General features: G+C 43.7%; 1 protein-coding gene across 12 annotated transcripts in view; it reads right to left on the reverse strand.

Annotated features, from left to right (window-relative positions):
- Positions 1–660: 660 nt before the first annotated feature.
- ANXA2 (annexin A2) overlaps positions 661–18,776 on the reverse strand; it is a 50,836-nt gene continuing 32,720 nt past the window's right edge. For all 12 annotated transcript variants that reach the window (NM_004039.3, NM_001136015.3, XM_047432407.1 and 9 more), the window contains 10 exons: positions 17,939–18,033; positions 14,451–14,564; positions 10,656–10,746; positions 9,429–9,508; positions 7,664–7,723; positions 5,893–5,986; positions 5,234–5,329; positions 4,703–4,761; positions 2,585–2,707; positions 661–1,199 (listed from right to left, as the gene is read on the reverse strand). In NM_004039.3, coding sequence (NP_004030.1) covers positions 1,140–1,199; positions 2,585–2,707; positions 4,703–4,761; positions 5,234–5,329; positions 5,893–5,986; positions 7,664–7,723; positions 9,429–9,508; positions 10,656–10,746; positions 14,451–14,564; positions 17,939–18,033 — 872 coding nt within the window. In that variant the 3' untranslated portion in view covers positions 661–1,139. The remainder of the gene's footprint in view (positions 1,200–2,584; positions 2,708–4,702; positions 4,762–5,233; positions 5,330–5,892; positions 5,987–7,663; positions 7,724–9,428; positions 9,509–10,655; positions 10,747–14,450; positions 14,565–17,938; positions 18,034–18,776) is intronic.

Consider the following 18,776-nt stretch of genomic DNA (forward strand, 5'->3'; position numbering starts at 1 on the left):
GGGGACAGCACCTTCACATTTATGAACACAGATAGATACATATATATACATGCGTATGCAGTCTATCCATGAAAATGTACTGGAAACCAGGCGACTCCAGGGAAGGCCACTGGCTAGTAAGGGAGAGACATAACTTTCCCTGTACAGAAAGAAGTCTCTGAACTTTTTGACATGTGTACCATTGTATCAGCGACCTGTCATTCATTCCCAGACCCTTAAGAACCTGCATGGAGTGCTTTCTCCCAGCTGTAAAACCTCACCTTAGATTTTAGTGTGCAGCTCAAATTGTTCCTTTTCTCTATCATCTTTCTCAATCCTCCCAGTCAAAAGAAATCCCTTCTCCGTGCTTCCCATCGGCTTGTGTTGGATCTCCTTTGCCAGAATGCTGTAGCCTGCCCCACCCTGCCCCACTGCTCTCTCCAGTTTGTGGCTGCCCCTGATGCTTATTTTCACCTAATTAACCTGTAGAAAGATAAGCAGATAAGGGGTCCCTCTGGGACCCTTTTTCTCCCCCATAGGTCCTCTCATGCCCTGGGCATGTACTGCTGCCCAACAGAACTTTCTATCGAAATGTTCCCTGCCTGCGCTGTCCAGATATACTAGCTGCTGACCACATGTGAAAGCTGAGCATTCGAAATGTGGATTGTGTGACTCAGGAACTGATTTTATTTTATTTTATTTCATTTAAATTTAACTTAAATAGCGACACTTGGATAGGGGCAACCATACTGTACAGCTCAGTCCCAGAGCTTTCTTCCTACAGGGACAGCCTCACCAGCTGAACCCCAAGCACGTTTAATTTTCAAACAATTCAGTTGAAAGCAGGGCCACAAAGTACGTGTTTCTAAAGTACAAATTCAGTTTATTCATCTGTTTATGACACAGTACACAGGAGGCAAAGTGTTTCACATCATAGACTTCACTTCCAACTCCTTGGAATGTTCATTTCTTTGGCTTACAGGAGAGACTAGACAGGAAGGCCAGGCAATGCTTAGGCAACTAAAATGAGGTTGGGGGTAATGCTAACGTCACCCTCACAGGGATGGCCACGGGGACTGTTATTCGCAAGCTGGTTTTCTAGACCTGTTAGCTGGAAGCATGGTGAGCACCATTTCTGGACGCTCAGGCCGTGTCGGGCTTCAGTCATCTCCACCACACAGGTACAGCAGCGCTTTCTGGTAGTCGCCCTTAGTGTCTTGCTACAATGGCCCAGGAAAGAAAAGAAACGTGGTATCAGAAAAAAGCCCAGACTCCTCAATAACACAGAAGTAGCCTCAACGCACAATGAAGCTTCTCCCATGACAAAGAGAAGACTCTGCAGGAGACCTGCCCTGATACAAAGGCCTGGAAGGCCACACCCAAACCATTGCCAGGGAAGCCTCCAGGAGTGTGGTCGGAGGAGGTGCTGGGGAAGACACTCAAGGCTCCTTAGGACTGTGGGGTGGAGGGAGTGCAAGGTGCTGAGGATTGACATAGGTTAGTGACCAGGGCTGTTCTTACTGCAGCAAGGTCCTACAAACACCCTAACTTTCCTCTCTCGTCCTCGTCTTTCCACAGAAAACAGGGTACTTTCCTAGCTCACTCTCCTATTTCCTGCATTATTAAGGTCAAGTGGAAATAAGCTGGTGAGGTGAGGAACAATTACTAAGAGTCTAACTGGTCCTTTGACTTTAAACATGTGCCCTAATAAACCTGGCTACAAAAAATCCAGCTCTAACTTTATCCTTGCTAACCATGGGCATGCCTTTGGACATCTGAGGAACTTCTAGAAAGGGGAATTGCAAGGGCTGTCTGAAATCTACACAGTGGTACCACTGTGAATGCCATCACTTCCTTACTGCAAATGCGACATCACATCAAAACAGACAGATGCTAAACTGATTGGAGAGATGGGAGTTCTGAATAACTGAAAGTTGTTAGGCCTATCCCAGAGGATTTTTCAAGGAACCAATGCATAATAAAAGTAAAATGTGGCCGGGCGCAGTGGCTCACGCCTGTCATCCCAGCACTTTGGGAGGCCGAGGCGGGCGGATCACGAGGTCAGGAGATCGAGACCATCCTGGCTAACACGGTGAAACCCTGTCTCTACTAAAAATACAAAAAAATTAGCCGGGTGTGGTGGCGGGCGCCTGTAGTCCTAGCTACTTGGGAGGCTGAGGCAGGAAAATGGTGTGAACCCAGAAGTCGGAGGTTGCAGTGAGCCGAGATTGTGGCCACTGCACTCCAGCCTGGGCGAGAGAGCAAGACTCCGTCTCAAAAAAAAAAAAAAAAGTAAAATGTAACTGATCTTCCAAGCCTCTTCGGGATGTCAGCAAGCCTTGCAGGATCATCGTCATGAACACCGATGATCATTGTAGAGTAACAGATGTGAAAAATATAAAACATCTGCCTGATTGTACAAAGTCCAGGACAAATCACAAATGGTGCTTTCAAAATAAATCCCTGATAGTTGATGACTAGCATCTCTTCCCCAGAGAGTCAGAAAACAGAAAATCGCCACTCTGTCATCATTCTGCCAGGCCACCTGCCAGGGCCCGGGGTGCTCTGGACGGCAGGGCAGGCTGACACTGCACCTCGGGCTTACCTGGATATAATAGTACAGGGACTTGCCGTACTTTCTCTTGAATTCAGACCTAATTTTCAACATGTCCACTTCACTGCGGGAGACCATGATTCTGATCAGGACCTTATCTCGCGTCCCCTTGCCCTGAAAATCAAGTTGATATTTGTTACATTCGCTGAGAATGTTATCGTTAAAGAAAGCGTCTACAGGTTGAGCATCCCTGATCTGAAAATCTGAAATCTAAAATGCTCCAAAATCCAAAACTTTTTCAGTGCCGACATGATGCCACAATGAAAAATTCCACATACAGCACTTAACACAAACTGTTTCATGCACAAAATTATCAAAAGCGTTGTATAAAATTACCTTTAGGCTATGTGTGTAAGGTCTATATAAAACATAAATGAATCTCAAGTTTAGACTTGGGTCCCATCCCTAAAATATTTCATCATATATATGCAAATATTACAAAATCAAAAATAAATCTGAGATATAAAACATTCCTGGTCCCAAGCATTTTGGATAAGGGATATTAGGGCACAGTGTACACTGCCTGGGTGATAAGTACACCAAAATCTCAAAAATCACCACGAAAGAACTTATTCATGTAACCGAACACTACTTGTTTCCCAAAAACCTATAAGAAAGGAAAGACAGAGAGAGAGAGGGAAAGACAGAGAGAGAGAGAGAAAGAAAGAGAGAAAGAAAGAAAAAGGGAAGGAAGGAAGGAGAGAGAAAGAGAGAAGAAAGGGAAAGGGAAAGGAAGGAAAGGGAGGGAGGGGAAGGAAAGGGAGGGAGGTGAAGGCAGGGAGGCAGGGGAAGGCAAGGAGGCAGGAGAAGGCAGGGAGGCAGGGGAAGGCAGGGAGGCAGGGGAAGGCAGGGAGGCAGGGGAAGGCAGGGAGGCAGGGGAAGGCAGGGAGGGAGGGGAAGGCAGGGAGGCAGGGGAAGGCAGGGAGGGAGGGGAAGGCAGGGAGGCAGGGGAAGGCAGGGAGGGAGGGGAAGGCAGGGAGGCAGGGGAAGGCAGGGAGGGAGGGGAAGGCAGGGAGGGAGGGGAAGGCAGGGAGGGAGGGGAAGGCAGGGAGGGAGGGGAAGGCAGGGAGGCAGGGGAAGGCAGGGAGGGAGGGAGGAAAAAAGAAAGAAAAAAAAAGACAAGACAAGAAAAGAAAAGAAAGAAGAGCATCTGGGAATTCCAAACACACCAGGCTGTAGTCAGCACAGACTCCCACTCTATGCCACCATTCAATAAATATATACTGAGCACCTACTACTGCAAGGCTCAGTTCAAGCAGTCTGAGTCTCCATATGTAACAAGAGGTTCCTGACTCTTGCAGGCTTAGAGGGAACATGCCAACACATTTCTATCATCGCTCTGTGCCATTTCTAATGATATGTGCAATAAAGACCACTGAGTTTACTTCCAGAGCATCAGAGCGAAGGCACCAAGGGGTGCTATTTGATATGGAACTCAAAGACAGATGGCAGAGGCAGCACAGACAAGGGAGATGTTCCAGAAGGAAAATGCAAAAGCCTAGAAGCCAGAAAACACATGGCACACTTGAGGTGTAGAAAATGGGATGGGTCTACGGGAAGAGGTGGTTCGTTTAGGGAAGGGTTGTGGGGCTGTCTTTGGGGTCTGATAGACCCAGGTTCAAATCTGTCTGTGTAACTTCAAGCAGGCTGAGGTATTCTGAGCTCCATCTCTGCATTTATAAAGAAGATAATCATAAGCCTCAGAGGTTGTTATGCAATGATTTAAGGTAAAATAGTAGCACTTGTCCACTGTATAGTGGGTGCTTAATAATCGCTCCCTTCCTCGCTTGTCTTGACTCTGGCAGTAACAGGAAGAAATCACGGAGAAACCTAAGCAGGGATCAGACACGACTACCATGTCGCATTTTCTCTCTCCCATGGCACTTTACTTTTTGTCTGTACGCAAATACATGTTCAAGCAGCTGAGAGAAAGAAGACAGATTTGTGGTTCTCTCAGCTGTCACATACAACCACAGCTGACTAGTGTGTTCCTGCATCCACACAGTGGGGTCCCCTTCCTCCATCCATGAATCAAGGAGACTCAATTTGGGACCCAAAAGAAGAAAAGCTGAGTGTGGAAACACAGCTCTCTCAGCCAGCTGCCCTTACCTTCATGGAGTCATACAGCCGATCAGCAAAATACAGGGGCTTGTTCTGAATGCACTGAACTGTGGAGAGAAGAAAGGGAGTCAGCGCTGCAGCTGCTCTGGTCTCTCCTCTACCAATGAGAGAGGATGCCCTGGCCCTGGGCCACAAACCAGAAGTGACCTAATGCAATGGAAAAGGGCTGCAAAATAGGACAGGCTAAGGGAAATCTAGAAATCCTCTGCAATACTAAGTTCCACCACGGTTTTAAACCAGGGGTCTCTGAGGCCTGCAGAACCCAAGTGCATACGTGAGTTTCCACAACACACCCCTCTCTCCTCCTGTTCTCTTACTCCTCCCTGGCAACAATCTGTTACCAAGTTAGGCCTTTCTTCAGTTTTATATTCTGAAATCTATACAATTAAGACTGTAAAACTATCCAAAGCATGCATAGAAGCCACACCTCCCAAACACATTTGGATTAACAGGATGGCCATCTGTCACTTCTGCTCTGGTAGCTGATGTCTACCAGGAATGGGGGCCACATTCACTTACCCAGGTTCAGGAAAGCATTTTCCAGGTCTCCTTTAACCTCTTTCCTGATGCTTTCCAACATGTCATAAGGGCTGTAACTCTTGTACCTATCAAATACTGAGGAAAAACAACAAAGAGTTATCAGATCCGAGCCACTAGTCAAAGCTGTCAACGATCACCCACCTAGTTTTATGCACCATAATTTTTTTAAAAATTGAGGATGATCACAGCATCCTAGGAGCTTAGAGGTTACCACGGTGACCAGAGCCAACATTGGCCAAGTTTGTCGTGGAACAGCCATACCACCTGTCCTGAATGGCACTGCCCAGGCCACATATTTGGACCATCTCTATCTCCCCTGAGTGGAACCCATTCCATCCGAAAACCATAGGAAACAGTACAGAGCATGCACCAAAGTCCACTACTTCAACAAATAATGGCAAGACCAAATGATCATCAAACAAGAAGGAGCTGCAGAATAAAGCACCAAATGCAGAAACTATTTGCAAGAGAAAAGAATCCAGAATGGGAGAGAAAGGTGAGGGAAAATGGGTGAGCCTATGAGAGTGCCAAGCGGAGACAGAACCTCATTCTGGCAGACTCCATCCCAACATGGACATCCACCCAGCCGCCCCAGCCAGGGCCCCAAGGCACTGAGACTCCCTCAGCACAGTGCCCACCTTTCTGGAGGTGGGGCACGCTCCGCTCGGTCATGATGCTGATCCACTTGGGAACATCAGTTCCTTTCCTCTTCACTCCAGCGTCATAGAGATCCTACGAGTACAACCAACCAGGAAAAGTTAACTACACATCCAATGTAACGTCAAAAAAAATGTCATGCAAAAAAAACAAAAAAAGCTACACATTCAAAATGCCAAACGAGGAAAGATGATTATACTGCAGACATGGGCAGAGACCTACTATTTAGGTCAAAAGTCTTAATCACAAGCAGTCTTCCTTAGGCACAGATGGATACCATATGAGACTGCAGATAGTTCGTGAGGTCTGCTGTACAATCTCCTTCCTTGAATAAGAAAGGAGGGACCAAGAGCTTGTATTCATATAAAGAAGAACAAGTAAATGTTCATTAACACATCTGGCCCTCCTCCCTTTGGGCACATTTAGGGGCAGATAAGCTAGCAGATGTTTACTGGACAGCTACAGACCAGGCTCTCATTCTCAAGCTTCTCAGAGACTCAGGGAGTGATGGAGCTGGAAAAGGAGCCCATCTCATCTCACTTTCAGTTTCTGGAAAATTTAGGGGCTACAAGTAGCCCTAACAATGGCAGGGAGGGCAAGAGGAAGAAAGGCTTATGCAAGGGTAGATATTCATTCCGTGATCTTCCACCATCTAGGAACTGCAAAACCCAACTTCTATTACTTTATTTAAAACCCTTCTCTACTACCTGCTAGAAGTGCCGTGTGGAATATATTGAATTTTAAAACTAACATTAATTTAAATTAATTTTTTTCTGCAGCTTTTATGACTTACTTTGAGATAATCGTTGTCCCTCTGAGTAAAGAATATAGTTCATTGCAGTCTGAATAAGCTTAACAAATAGTTCTCAGAGATAATGGAACTAGAACTGGCAAAAGTCTTATTCAGCCAGAAAAGGACAGGTCTCTGCTGGCCTCCCTTTCTCCCCCACCACAACAGAGCAGTACACCATCCTGTCCCTGGCTGTGTCTCCTCCACCTTCTTCTGCTTCCCACCTGCCTGCCTGATTGGTATGCACAGCCACATTACACTCTGCAGAAACTGATGCTTCCATACAAGCAAAGCCTGAGTGAGCATATGTGAGTCACGTATTGATTCTGTAAGTAACACCAGCATTATAAGAGAATGTCTTCTAATAAACATTGCTGTCAGACTATGGTGGGTTTAAAATACGGCCAGAAATTCTTTGAGGTTCCTCCCTTCCAAAGGAAGAGCCTAATCCCCTCCCACTGAGTGTGGGCTAGACTCAGTGACTCACTTTTAATGAAAAGAGTATGACAGCAGTGCAAGGTGGGACTCCTGAGGTTAGGTCATAAAAGACACTGTGGCTTCCTCTTTGCAGATTGCTTGCTCTGGGGAAAGCCGGCTGCCATGTTGTGAGGACGCTCAAACAACCCCATGGAGAGGCATATGTGGAGCGATTCTAAGGTCTCCTACCAACAGTCATGTGAAGTGCACCATCTTGGAAGCAGATTCCCTTGACCCAGTCAAGCCCTCAGGTGACTGCAGCCATGCAACATTTTGTCTGCAACCTCAGAAAAGACCCTGAGCCAGAACAATTGGGCTAATCTACTCCTCAATTCCTGACACACAGAAACTGAGAAATAATACATGTTTGTTGTTTTAAGCCACAGAGTTTGGGAGTCATTTGTCACACAGAGTTAAATTACTATATAGACTATCCAGAGACTTACCAGAAAACAAAAACTCAAAGCAAAAAGCTCAGCACTTACCCGAGCATCTTGGTCAATCAGTTCATAATCAATGACAGAGCCATCCTCTGCTCTTCTACCCTATGGGGGAAAGAAAAAGAACTTCAAATACATTTCTTTGTGTATTTTAAAACTGAAAATGTTTTCTCCCCAGTCCATGTACGCCATTATTTAATTTCCTAAATAAGTAACCACGTAAGATTTTTCTTACTTTGAAACATAGATGGGGCCGGGCACGGTGGCTCACGCCTGTAATCCTAGGACTTTGGGAAGCCAAGGCGGGCAGATCACGAGGTCAGGAGATGGAGACCAACCTGGCTAACAAGGTGAAACCCTGTCTCTACTAAATTAGCCAGGCGTGGTGGCACATGCCTGTAGTCCCAGCTACTCGGGAGGCTGAGGCAGGAGAATCGCTTGAACCAGGTTGCTGTGATCTGAGATCACGCCACTGCACTCCAACCCTGGTGACAGAGTGAGACTCTGTCTCAAAAAAAAAAAAAAAAAAGAAAGAAAGAAAAGAAAAAGAAAAAGAAACCTAGACCAGCCAAGGAGTGGTAAAATCATTGAGCAAGGAAGTGGGGGCTGTGCCTTGCCATCAACAATCCCCCCCTTGATACCCAGTCCTGGCCTACACACCTTACAGAATCCCTGTCCCCATCCCCCACAAAAAGCTGATGAGATTTAGCTCTTTCTCACAGAGAGCTTGCAATGCAGATGGAGGAATATGTGGAAACAAATGTAAAGCAGCCCGGGAACCCACAGCACTAGAAAGACACAAAATGCGGGCGGAGGAAGAACTCTCAGAGGGCAGAGTCAGCAAAGAGTGTGAACGATGGGCCTGGGCTTAAGCTGAAACTTCAAGGGTCAGTCAGATGCAGCTAGCCAAGCAGAGCGGGAGAGCCAGCTGGCACACAAGGGATGGCACAGCACGCTCTCAGGTAAGTAAGGAGCTGCCCTGTCAGAGCAGAGCTGAGCGGGAAAGATGAGCAAAGAAGATGCAGGGAGGGTTTAGAGGACCTTTCACAGCAGTTAGGAGTTTAAATTTGATGCAGCAGAAATGGGGTTTGAACAGAGGAGTAAAATGGTGAAAGTGTATTTCACAGAGATCCGTGGATGGTGGTACATGGGGCAGGTGGTAGCGAAGAGAGGAGAGCGAGGGAGAATGGCATAGGAGTTGTTGCAGTAATGGAGATGTGAGTGGGCCGGACGCACTATCTGTCATTTGTCATCAGGGTTCCCAGGGTCTCTCGTCCCTCCCCTGGCACATAAGTATTAAGCTACACGCTGGCCAGAACTAGGGATTCACAGGGGAAATGCCCCTTCCTCCATGTTAATGTGTTAATATTAGCAATCAGCTCCACAAAGACAACTCCACCCCAGACAAAGGACTATATGGGCAAATTCTTCCATGAGAAGTAAACGCAGTGAAAAAGAAACCAGAAGGTCACTTCCCACTGGGTCCTGCATGACCACAGATAGAGGCAAAGTGACCTTCCCTAAGTCACACGGCCAAGGCTCTGGCACATAAATCCAGGCCAGGACTTGAGAGCCGCCCATCCCTTCTCTGGCTCCCAAAGTCCACTTGTCCATGAGGTTTTGCAGGATAAGAAATCCTATTATACAAAATTGACAACTCTGCAGTGACAGTGCAAACCCACTTTCAAAAATGCAGCTGAATTTCTGATGCAGGCACAGGGGATTTAGTTAATTCACTCCAAGTATAAAATGAGGTATGTGACTTGCCTTGGGAGGAAGCAAGGGCAAAGAAAGAAACTGGGAAACCAACCTTTGCCAGGGCAACCATCAGCTTGCGGAAGTCACCAGATGTGTCCGAAATAATGTCCTTCTCCAGATCAGTCTTGTACACTTGGAGGAAAATACATCTGGTTTTATGCTTTCTGCCTGTGTAGCCAACCATCCACCCCAATCTCCCCATTTCCCACTAAGACTCTGAGAAGCAGAACAGCTACGTCAGCTGGACATATCCATTCTCCTTAACCCCAAACAGAGGAAGGATTCACTAGAATGATTTTCGCCCTCATGAAATCAGAGCCAGAGTTATTATCCATAACAGGGGGCAGCAGGGCTAGATCAAATCAGGGATCCTCAGGCTCACCGTTGATTGGTGACCTCTCGTGTAGTTTAAATACTGGCTCCCAGCCCTCCTGACTGTGAGTACTTGTTCTGAACATCAAAAAAATTGGAGGTCTACACACGCACACACACACACACAATTGTGCTTTACTGTCCACTGAGAAAATGCACAGCGGCAAAAACTACTAAGAATTAAACAATGCTTTTGAATGAAAGTATATTTCAATATTCAAAATAGCATCTATATTGAAATACAGTAGCTAGAGAAGAACTGTAATGTTCCTGATACAAAAAAAAAGATAAATGTGTGAGGTGATGGATATCTCAATTACCCTGACTTGATAATTACATATTATATATAATACATGTACCAAAATATCACATGTACCCCCAAAATATGTAAAACTATGATAATAACTTTAAAAAGTAAAACAAAAAAGAAATGCAGTAGCGATGTAAGTTGCATTGTTTATTCCCCTCATAGCCTTCTATACTGCTAAGTGTGCACCAGTCCACAGGGGTCTCTTGCTGTAATTCTTCAATTATCCACAGTCCAGAGTTGGCAACCTCTTGAGCAGACACTGAACAGCGCCCAATAAGTGGAATCCATATATAATACTTGCTACTTCTCCTCATCCGATCTTGTTTAAAAACAAGTTTTGTTTTCTCTCCTTTCCCTCCTGTCTACCCTTCTTCTAACACAGAAGTTCTAGTGGAATGTAATAATCAAAATGCAGGCAATGAGGAGGTGAAGGAGAGAAACTTGGACCACAGCCAACCTTGCCTGCATAGTCAAGGTGGCAGGCACTTCTGCACATCACTAATGCAGGCATCTTAGCCCGAACCCTAACCCCAGTGGCCATGATAGAGTCACATAAATTGGGCTGAGAGGATGAATCACAGAAATCAAGCTACTCACTTTCCTTGTAGACTCTGTTAATTTCCTGCAGCTCCTGGTTGGTTCTGGAGCAGATGATCTCAATGAGAGAGTCCTCGTCGGTTCCCAGCCCCTGTGAACCAGGAAGCACGAACATCAGCAGGGAAATGCTTCCCCACCATTAGCCTACTTCTCTGATCTCCATCAAGTAAATTGCAAACATGGATTGGGTCTGTTAGCATCCTGCTTTCTACATTCCTTCTGAAGAATCTATACTCCTACCCCTTAGCACAAAGTAATGGCATTTTCTATTCCTTTAAAAAATGCTTCACCAGAGCACAAGATGGTGGAACTGGCATGTTGGAGTTCAACTGTTAATATGGTTTTTTTTTTTAAGTAGTGAATAGGGGCTGGGCACAGTGGCTCACGCCTGTAATCCCAGCACTTTGGGAGGCCAAGGCAGGCAGATCACGAGGTCAAGAGATCAAGACCATTCTGGCTAACACAGTGAAACCCCATCTCTACTAAAAATACAAAAAATTAGCTGGGCATGGTAGCGGGCGCCTGTAGTCCCAGCTACCCTGGGAGGCTGAGGCAGGAGAATGGCGTGAACCTGGGAGGTGGAGCTTGCAGTGAGCCGAGATCGCGCCACTGCACTCCAGCCTGGACGACAGAGTAAGACCCCATCTCAAAAAAAAAAAAAAGTAGTGAATAGGAAGAGGCAGCAATAGAATATGCCAAAATACTAAAACTGGCAATTGCCTTTTGCTGTGGGTAGATAAAGTAACTTTTTCTTATTATTATTTTTCACTTTCTACAATAACCACTCACTATTTTAACAGATTAGAAATTTCTTTGTTAAACAATTCTCGCTAAAATAAAGGAATACAGAAATTTTATGTTGTCACTTGCAGCCAGCATTGTTAGAGTAAGTCTTTTTACCAGGCAAAGGTATAGTTAAGAAAAAATTTTTAGCTGCACTCTTTGAAATGTAAAATTGGGTTAATGTTAAAAATTTCATTCTTGTCCTTCCATTTTTGCTTGATAATTATGCACTCTTCAGGCACTTTAGGGAAGCAAAAAGAAATAATGAAGTGCCAAATAAACCTAGACACCAACACTTTATTAAGGAATAAGAATTTGATGGGTGATGTATTCAAATTTAATATATACACTTTTGAGCATGTCAGATAGCTTGAAAGGACTCAATGAAACATGTATTTCAAAGCTGGCTTCATGATCAAAGTCAAGATTTAATAATCAGGATTCTTTAATACTTGTCTTTCCGAATATGGAACTATCACTTTGAACTAAGTAGAATTACAACTGTTTAAAATGTAAATCAATTATAAGGTGTTAATACAATAAGAAACTTACCCACATGAAAAGCGTGTCAGCTATTAATTAAACTTATTAGCGTTTATATGCCCCGAAAAAGTAGTTTGTATAATATAAGCTAAGCCTCAGGTTAATGGTTAATTTTGAATTTTATTCTTCATCTAACCTTTGAGCCAATGGCTCTTCTTTCTGAGTTTTTAATCATGATTTGTAGAGGTTCCAGCAAAGCCAAAAATTCTCCCCTTGTTAGCAAAAGGTCCATACAGCATTCTACACAAATGTTATTAAATGACTACCGAGTATCTTTGAATATTTTGAGAGGCAGTTGTTCAATCTCAAGGATGATAGAAATATAGTCTAAAAATAACACACAGTGGGAGAAATGTTATATCCTGACATTGTAGAATTGCAAGACAGGCAGAATAATGTAAGATGTGTTTCCTTCCATCACTGATATACCAGTGGTAATATCTGAGAATTCCAATAGTGTTTTTATGTCTACATTCAAAGGTGACCTTGGCAATTTCCAAAGCCCGGCCCAAACTCTCCACAGACTGTCCACAATTCCTATCACAAGGGCAAATTCTACTGTAACATATGGCAGATACTGCCACCGGTACTGCCAGAAGTCAAAACAGATTTTTTTTTAAGCATAGTTCAGTTAATGTCACTTCAAGCTTTATGGATTTTGGACGGGTATTCAACTGTGATAGCTAATGGAAGAGCTGGCACAGGGTCAAAGCTTCAGCAGTTAAAGCACCTTCCATTGGGCCCAATTACATAGATTACAACAGTGACTGACAGCTCAAAAAGGTCTGTTTCAAGTCCCTAATACCTAGTAATAGATACCAGTAAAGCCACTCGAATCACAACTAAATAGATTCTTGATGAAAATAAGACAAACTGATCTGAAGTGTTGATGGTCAGAAGAAACCTAGGAGAGGCTGACTCATCCCTGCCTCCAAAGGTCCACAGACTCGGTTTTCAGGAGCGCTATTTTTATCAACCAGGATCATGAAATGTTGTCGACATTTTATCATTCTTAATGACGTCTTTTCTGCAGTACAGTCTACTTAGGAAACTCAGACAAGTCCGCTAAAATAAACTGAGCACAGCTTGGGCTAAGCTGAAGAACTAAAGGAAGAAAGAGACTTAACAACAAATCTTACAGCAGCCCTGAGCTATCAAATTCCAGGCTTTGGAGATGCCCAGTGTCCGAAGCACCCTCACTCTTGTGTTCTCTGGGAAAAGGATGACAACTGAACTGTGACATTAGCTCTGGTGACAGGCTTACAGCTCAGACTGTTCATAATTCAGGAACAGTGGCATCAGAGAAAACAGACTCGGAATAAAAAATCAAGACCAATGGTTTCCCTCATCTACAGCGCAGACTTTACCCATGTATATCAGCAGAGGGCAGTGTCGGACTGTTCAAATGCTGCAGACCCACACTAAGAAAAGGGTCCAAATGTGTTGCAGTACAACATACATTAATGTGTGTGCATCTATTGCATTTATATAAAACTTGATGTTGGCCAGGCGCGGTGGCTCACGCCTGTAATCCTAGCACTTTGGGAGGCCAAGGTGGGCAGATCACCTGAGGTCGGGAGTTTGAGACCAGCCTGACCAACATGGAGAAATCCCGTCTCTACTAAAAATACAAAATTAGCTGGGCGTAGTGGCGCATGCCTGTAATCCCAGCTACTCGGGATGCTGAGGCAGGAGAATCTCTTGAACCCGGGAGGCAGAGGTTGCAGTGAACTGAGATCGCGCCATTGCACTCCAGCCTGGGCAACAAGAGCGAAATCCATCTCAAAAAACAAAACAAAACAAAACAAAAAACTTGATATTTTAAGTATGCACAAAGTTCAGGAGGTTTCCAATCTACAGTTTTTACTTAATTTAACCTAAAATTCCAGGTTCAAAAGAACTTTACAAAAGAAAAACATAAAAGATAACGTGCATTGAGACTTCACAGTTACTTTCTCACAGGTACGATTCAGGTACGATTCTTCATCCAGAATTACCCCTTATATGCACTATGATGTTCTGATTCTGCCTGAATTTGAAACAAATGGTACTGACAGAGAGAGTATGGGAGGAAGAAACACCCACGAAAGGATGGGCAGAATTTGCAAGCTTCACTTAACAAAAGCTATGAGTTTTTTTTTCTTGCCTTAATATCACAACATATCTTTTTAAAGGAGGAAGTGTAATCAAGGAAGTAGTTTTCCCAAATGGTATTCCAATTGCCCAGGTGCTGAGTAGTAGCAGCTGGTAACTGACTTCTCAGCATCATGAAATTTCTTTACAGTCTTAAAACAAGTAATTGAAATATTTTTGGTACAAATCCTGAGACATATAACTTCAGTTCATTTTTAAAAAATGGTTCCAAATGAGAATTCAACAAAACTGAAAATCACCAAATTACACTCAGAAAGCTGTAATTCACAAAATTAATAGCAGATTTGACAGAGATGACATCTCACATGCATTTACCTTCATGGAAGCTTTTAGCTCAGAAGCGTCATACTGAGCAGGTGTCTTCAATAGGCCCAAAATCACCGTCTCCAGGTGGCCAGATAAGGCTGACTTCAGTGCTGATGCAAGTTCCTTCAAGATAACAGGCAATCATAAGGAAAATATTTATTTTACTTTAAAACTAGTGAGTAAAACAAAAGTAAGAGGGATCTTTTTGTGAAGCAGGTTGTGAGTCTTTGACCACTCCGGAGTCTTGGGTCAAACGCCCTCAACTGCATTCCCTTCAACAGACCCACATCTCAGAAACATAAACATCAGGCTTTGCTTCAACGAAATTCCTTAAAATCCAAGTTAATTTTGCCGTCTTCCCCGGTCAATAAAAGGAAACTGGAGTCGTATGTGATTCCTAAGAAAGCTGTGAGAGTGCAGGCACTTTGCAATATGCTTGAAAGCAGTAACACTCCGTGGAAGGCAGGACGCTTTCGGAGATCAAGGCCCCTGCTAAGAAGGAGATGTTTGAGCAGACAGCCTCCTGGCAAGCAGATCTTGTGGCCTCCCGATATACTGTAAAAGACGTGGGGGCAGCCATTCCAGCGGCAGCTCCTCAAAGTCACCAGAAGGAACCAGAGGCCGCAACACAGTTGGAAGTGAGGTCATGAAACTTTCCTATGCAAAACACTTCATCTAATACTGAGAAAATATCTCCTTGTCCACACCAAACTCGGACGGTGTTTAATGGAAGTGATAGGAAACTAACACCCCCGAACTGGCCCCCTTGAATTCCCTGCTGCATGTAATTTCTTAAGGGTTGGATCCACTGTCACCATGAACACAAAAATTTGTCAGAGGTCTGGTCAGCACCCATGTATGTAGACAGACACCCCAACTCAATGTGTCTTTTAGCGATGCTTCCTCGAGCTAAACTTCCTACAAATCATGGCTGATGACTGAAGCCTCCTACTGAAATAATGTTCTTCTTTTCGCTTTTTTTTTTTTCTTCTCTCTCTTCTTTCTTTCCTTGCTTTCTAAGAGCACCTGTGGCATCTACAAAGCTTAGCCCCTACAGGTACTTGCAGGCTACGAGAGGTGATTTGCAGCATGCTTCAGAGACAACCATGCTGAATCATTCGTAGATGTCAAAAGTGTTAGAACTGACATGGATCTTAGAAGCCACCTGGCTTTCACCACCCATTTTCTCCTGCTTCCCAATGTCCCGGGAACACACGGCACTTAGGAGGGGACTGTAAAAGCAGTAGCTCCCAATTATAACACCAGTCTCCCAGTTTGGAACTTTGAGGTTAGGTAACTCCAAACTTAGCCTACCCTTGACACTCCCCTCTACCCATTCTCTATTCAAACCTCAAATAGCATTTGGGCACCTACTGACTTCTTCCACTTCTATTCTAAACTCCTTATGGGCGTTCAACTTCCTGTTTCTCACAATGTCCAGCACAGAGCTTTGCATTTAACAAAAACTAAACAAAAACTCCAGAAATGTATGATAAATCAAACATAACCCTTCCCTGTAAGGAGAAGCCTCGCATCTGGCGTCTGCTAGAACATGAAAGAGTCGTAAAAGCAGCTGTCTCTCCCAGCTCCTCTCCACTCTGCCAGCCGGGCCTAGGTTCTTCAAGCTCATCACCTGGGCAGCTGCAGCCCGTATCCCTAAAGAACTCTGCAGCACAAATCTTCCTTATTTCACAAATTTTCTTCTTTATTTCACAAACAGCCGATTGTTTCACTTGAAACTATCTCAAGTAGTTTACATATCTTTTATAAAAGATACATAATTCTCCTTGGCCTAAGGCTGAGAGTCAAGAATTAGTAGGATGATGAGCTGTCCCCAGCACACAGCAAAGCCTGTGAGATCTTGGGACCTCATCATAATTCTGGTAATATCTTCCCTCCTAGAGGGTATGTGGGAGCTTTGTTCTACATATATCTAATCTAAAACCAAGATCTAGGTTTTGGGTGTGGTGGCTTATGACTGTAATCCCAGCAGTTTGGGAGGCTGAGATGAATCATTTGAGTCCACATGGCAGAAGTTGCAGTAAGCCGAATCACACCACTGCAATCAAGCCTGGGTGACAGAGCAAGACCCTGTCACAAAAAAAAAAAAAAAAAAAAAAAAAAAAAGTTTCAGGCTTCTATGTGTGTGTGTACACACCCAAATGTATTCCAAGACCATACTCTGTGACAGCTGAAAGATCAAATTTTTTGCTTGCTATCCAGAGATGAGCCTTCTGCTCCACTGGGAACTTGGCTCTACCAGCTCACAGACCCCTTTGGGAAGCTGCAGAAATAAAACACTCCCCTCTATGCCTCACTACACAAGATTAATACACTTCTAGTGAAAGAAGAATTTTAATGCACTTGAGATGAAAGAAGCCAGATGCTTTCCTATTTATGTCCTTTCCAACCATTTAGAGTGCGGGGGATGGAAGTGTAGCAAGGCTTGACCTGCAACTCCCAGGACCCTGCTGGTCATGTCAATCCCAAGGGCAGAAATATCTCTTCTAGAATCCTTCCAGCTCACCTCCACTGTGGCTACAAGTGAAAGCCATAAGTCAAACGGGAGCTGCAGGAAGCCACACTTACTGCACTGTCCAAGAATAAATCAAAAGCTTTTAATAGCAAGAAGTTAAAAATAAAGCAGCACGTCCTTAAAAATAAAATTTCCTACAACTGACAAAATAAAGGACGAACACGCACTGGTTGTTTCTTAACCACTAGTGGACAAGCAAAGGGAAAAAGCACACAAAGACCCTTTAAATAGTAGGAGCATGGCATGTTGAAGATAGCTTTGCAGACCAAATGAACTAACAACTAAGCCCACTCGTTGCAAAAAGCTTAAGAATTCAAGTGTATATTTTTAAAATGAGAGGAGCTTGTTAGGATCAACACTCAGTGGAGGCTAGTATCCTAAAATTAAATTAGAAACATCTTATCAAGAACCAGCAGAAGTCATAAAGATGAAATGAGTTGCTACATGTACAAAACTGAGCACAGTGCCTGGCCCAAAGTAAGCACTCAATAAATGGTGCCTGTTGTTGTTATTGTTGTTGTTCCCTATTCCTAACTTTCTATTCCCAGAAGCTCTCCCTCCAGGTAGCCTGGGTTGGGGGAGGGTACTGTCCTTACACAGGAGCTCCCAAGCACTCTAAAGCGAGCGTGACCATCTGCGCTCTGCCTCCTCTCAGATCAACGGTGGCATGAGATTCTCACAGAAGCGCGAACCCTACTGTGAACTGCACACGCGAGGGATCTATGTTGTACACTCCTTATGAGAACCTAATGCCTGATGACCTGAGGTGCACGCGCGCGTGCACACACGCACACACACATGTGCAGTGACTCTTACAAGGATTTAAGAAGAAAATCTTAGATATCCAAGGGTCCCACAAGTCTTTTGCGCATGAGAGCCACAATTCATGAAAAGAAAAAGCAATGTCTGAGGAAACAAAAATTCAACAAGAAATGCCCTCCATCCCTGGAATTGCCTGTACCTTTTTGGTCCTTCTCTGGTAGGCGAAGGCAATATCCTGTCTCTGTGCATTGCTGCGGTTGGTCAAAATGTTGACAATGGTGACCTCATCCACACCTATGGAAATACAAGTTGTTAATCGTTACTCAGTATACTCTAGTATTTTGGGCTTACATAGAAGGTGTCAAGCAGACTTTTTCAAACTGAAATTTATATACTGTTTTCCAAACTGAAATACCCAGACACCAAGATTTGTTCTATCTCTTTCGTCAGCATCCTCTACCCAATGTGTACACTCTCTTTCCTTTTTTCTTGAGAGCCTCAAACCTCAAGCTTAAATGGACCTTTTAAATACTTGTGGTTTAAAAACTATTTTATTCATAAATTGGTTTCTGGAATCAACAGTAGGAGGTGCATATGTGGGGCTTTGGCAGTCAGATGGAACAACAGAGATTTAGTAGGATTTTAAATGAAGGTCCCCAAATTGCCATTTAACTCGGGATTTAATAGAGAGTAACTGCAAACTGAATTAATAGAGATAATTATTTATACTTATTGCAGGATTATGGCTATATAAGCAGCTAGGTATAATTTCTATAATTATAAAAACTGTCATGACAAATGAGTCAGATTTAACACGGCAGTTGTATTTTTAATAGCATAATTGATTAACACAATCACACTTATTGAAGACAAAATTGTTTTGTAAGGAAAATAAACGTTCCACTGCCTTTAATCTTCAATAGGCAATTTTAATAATTAATTTTATAACTTTATTAAAAAGAGTAAGTGTTTTAATCTAAATTAAATCTAAATTGGGAGTTTTGAGGTGCCACCAAAATATTTTAGTACCTATTTTA

Source organism: Homo sapiens, chromosome 15 (genome assembly GCF_000001405.40).
Source record: "Homo sapiens chromosome 15, GRCh38.p14 Primary Assembly".
NCBI lineage: Eukaryota > Metazoa > Chordata > Mammalia > Primates > Hominidae > Homo > Homo sapiens.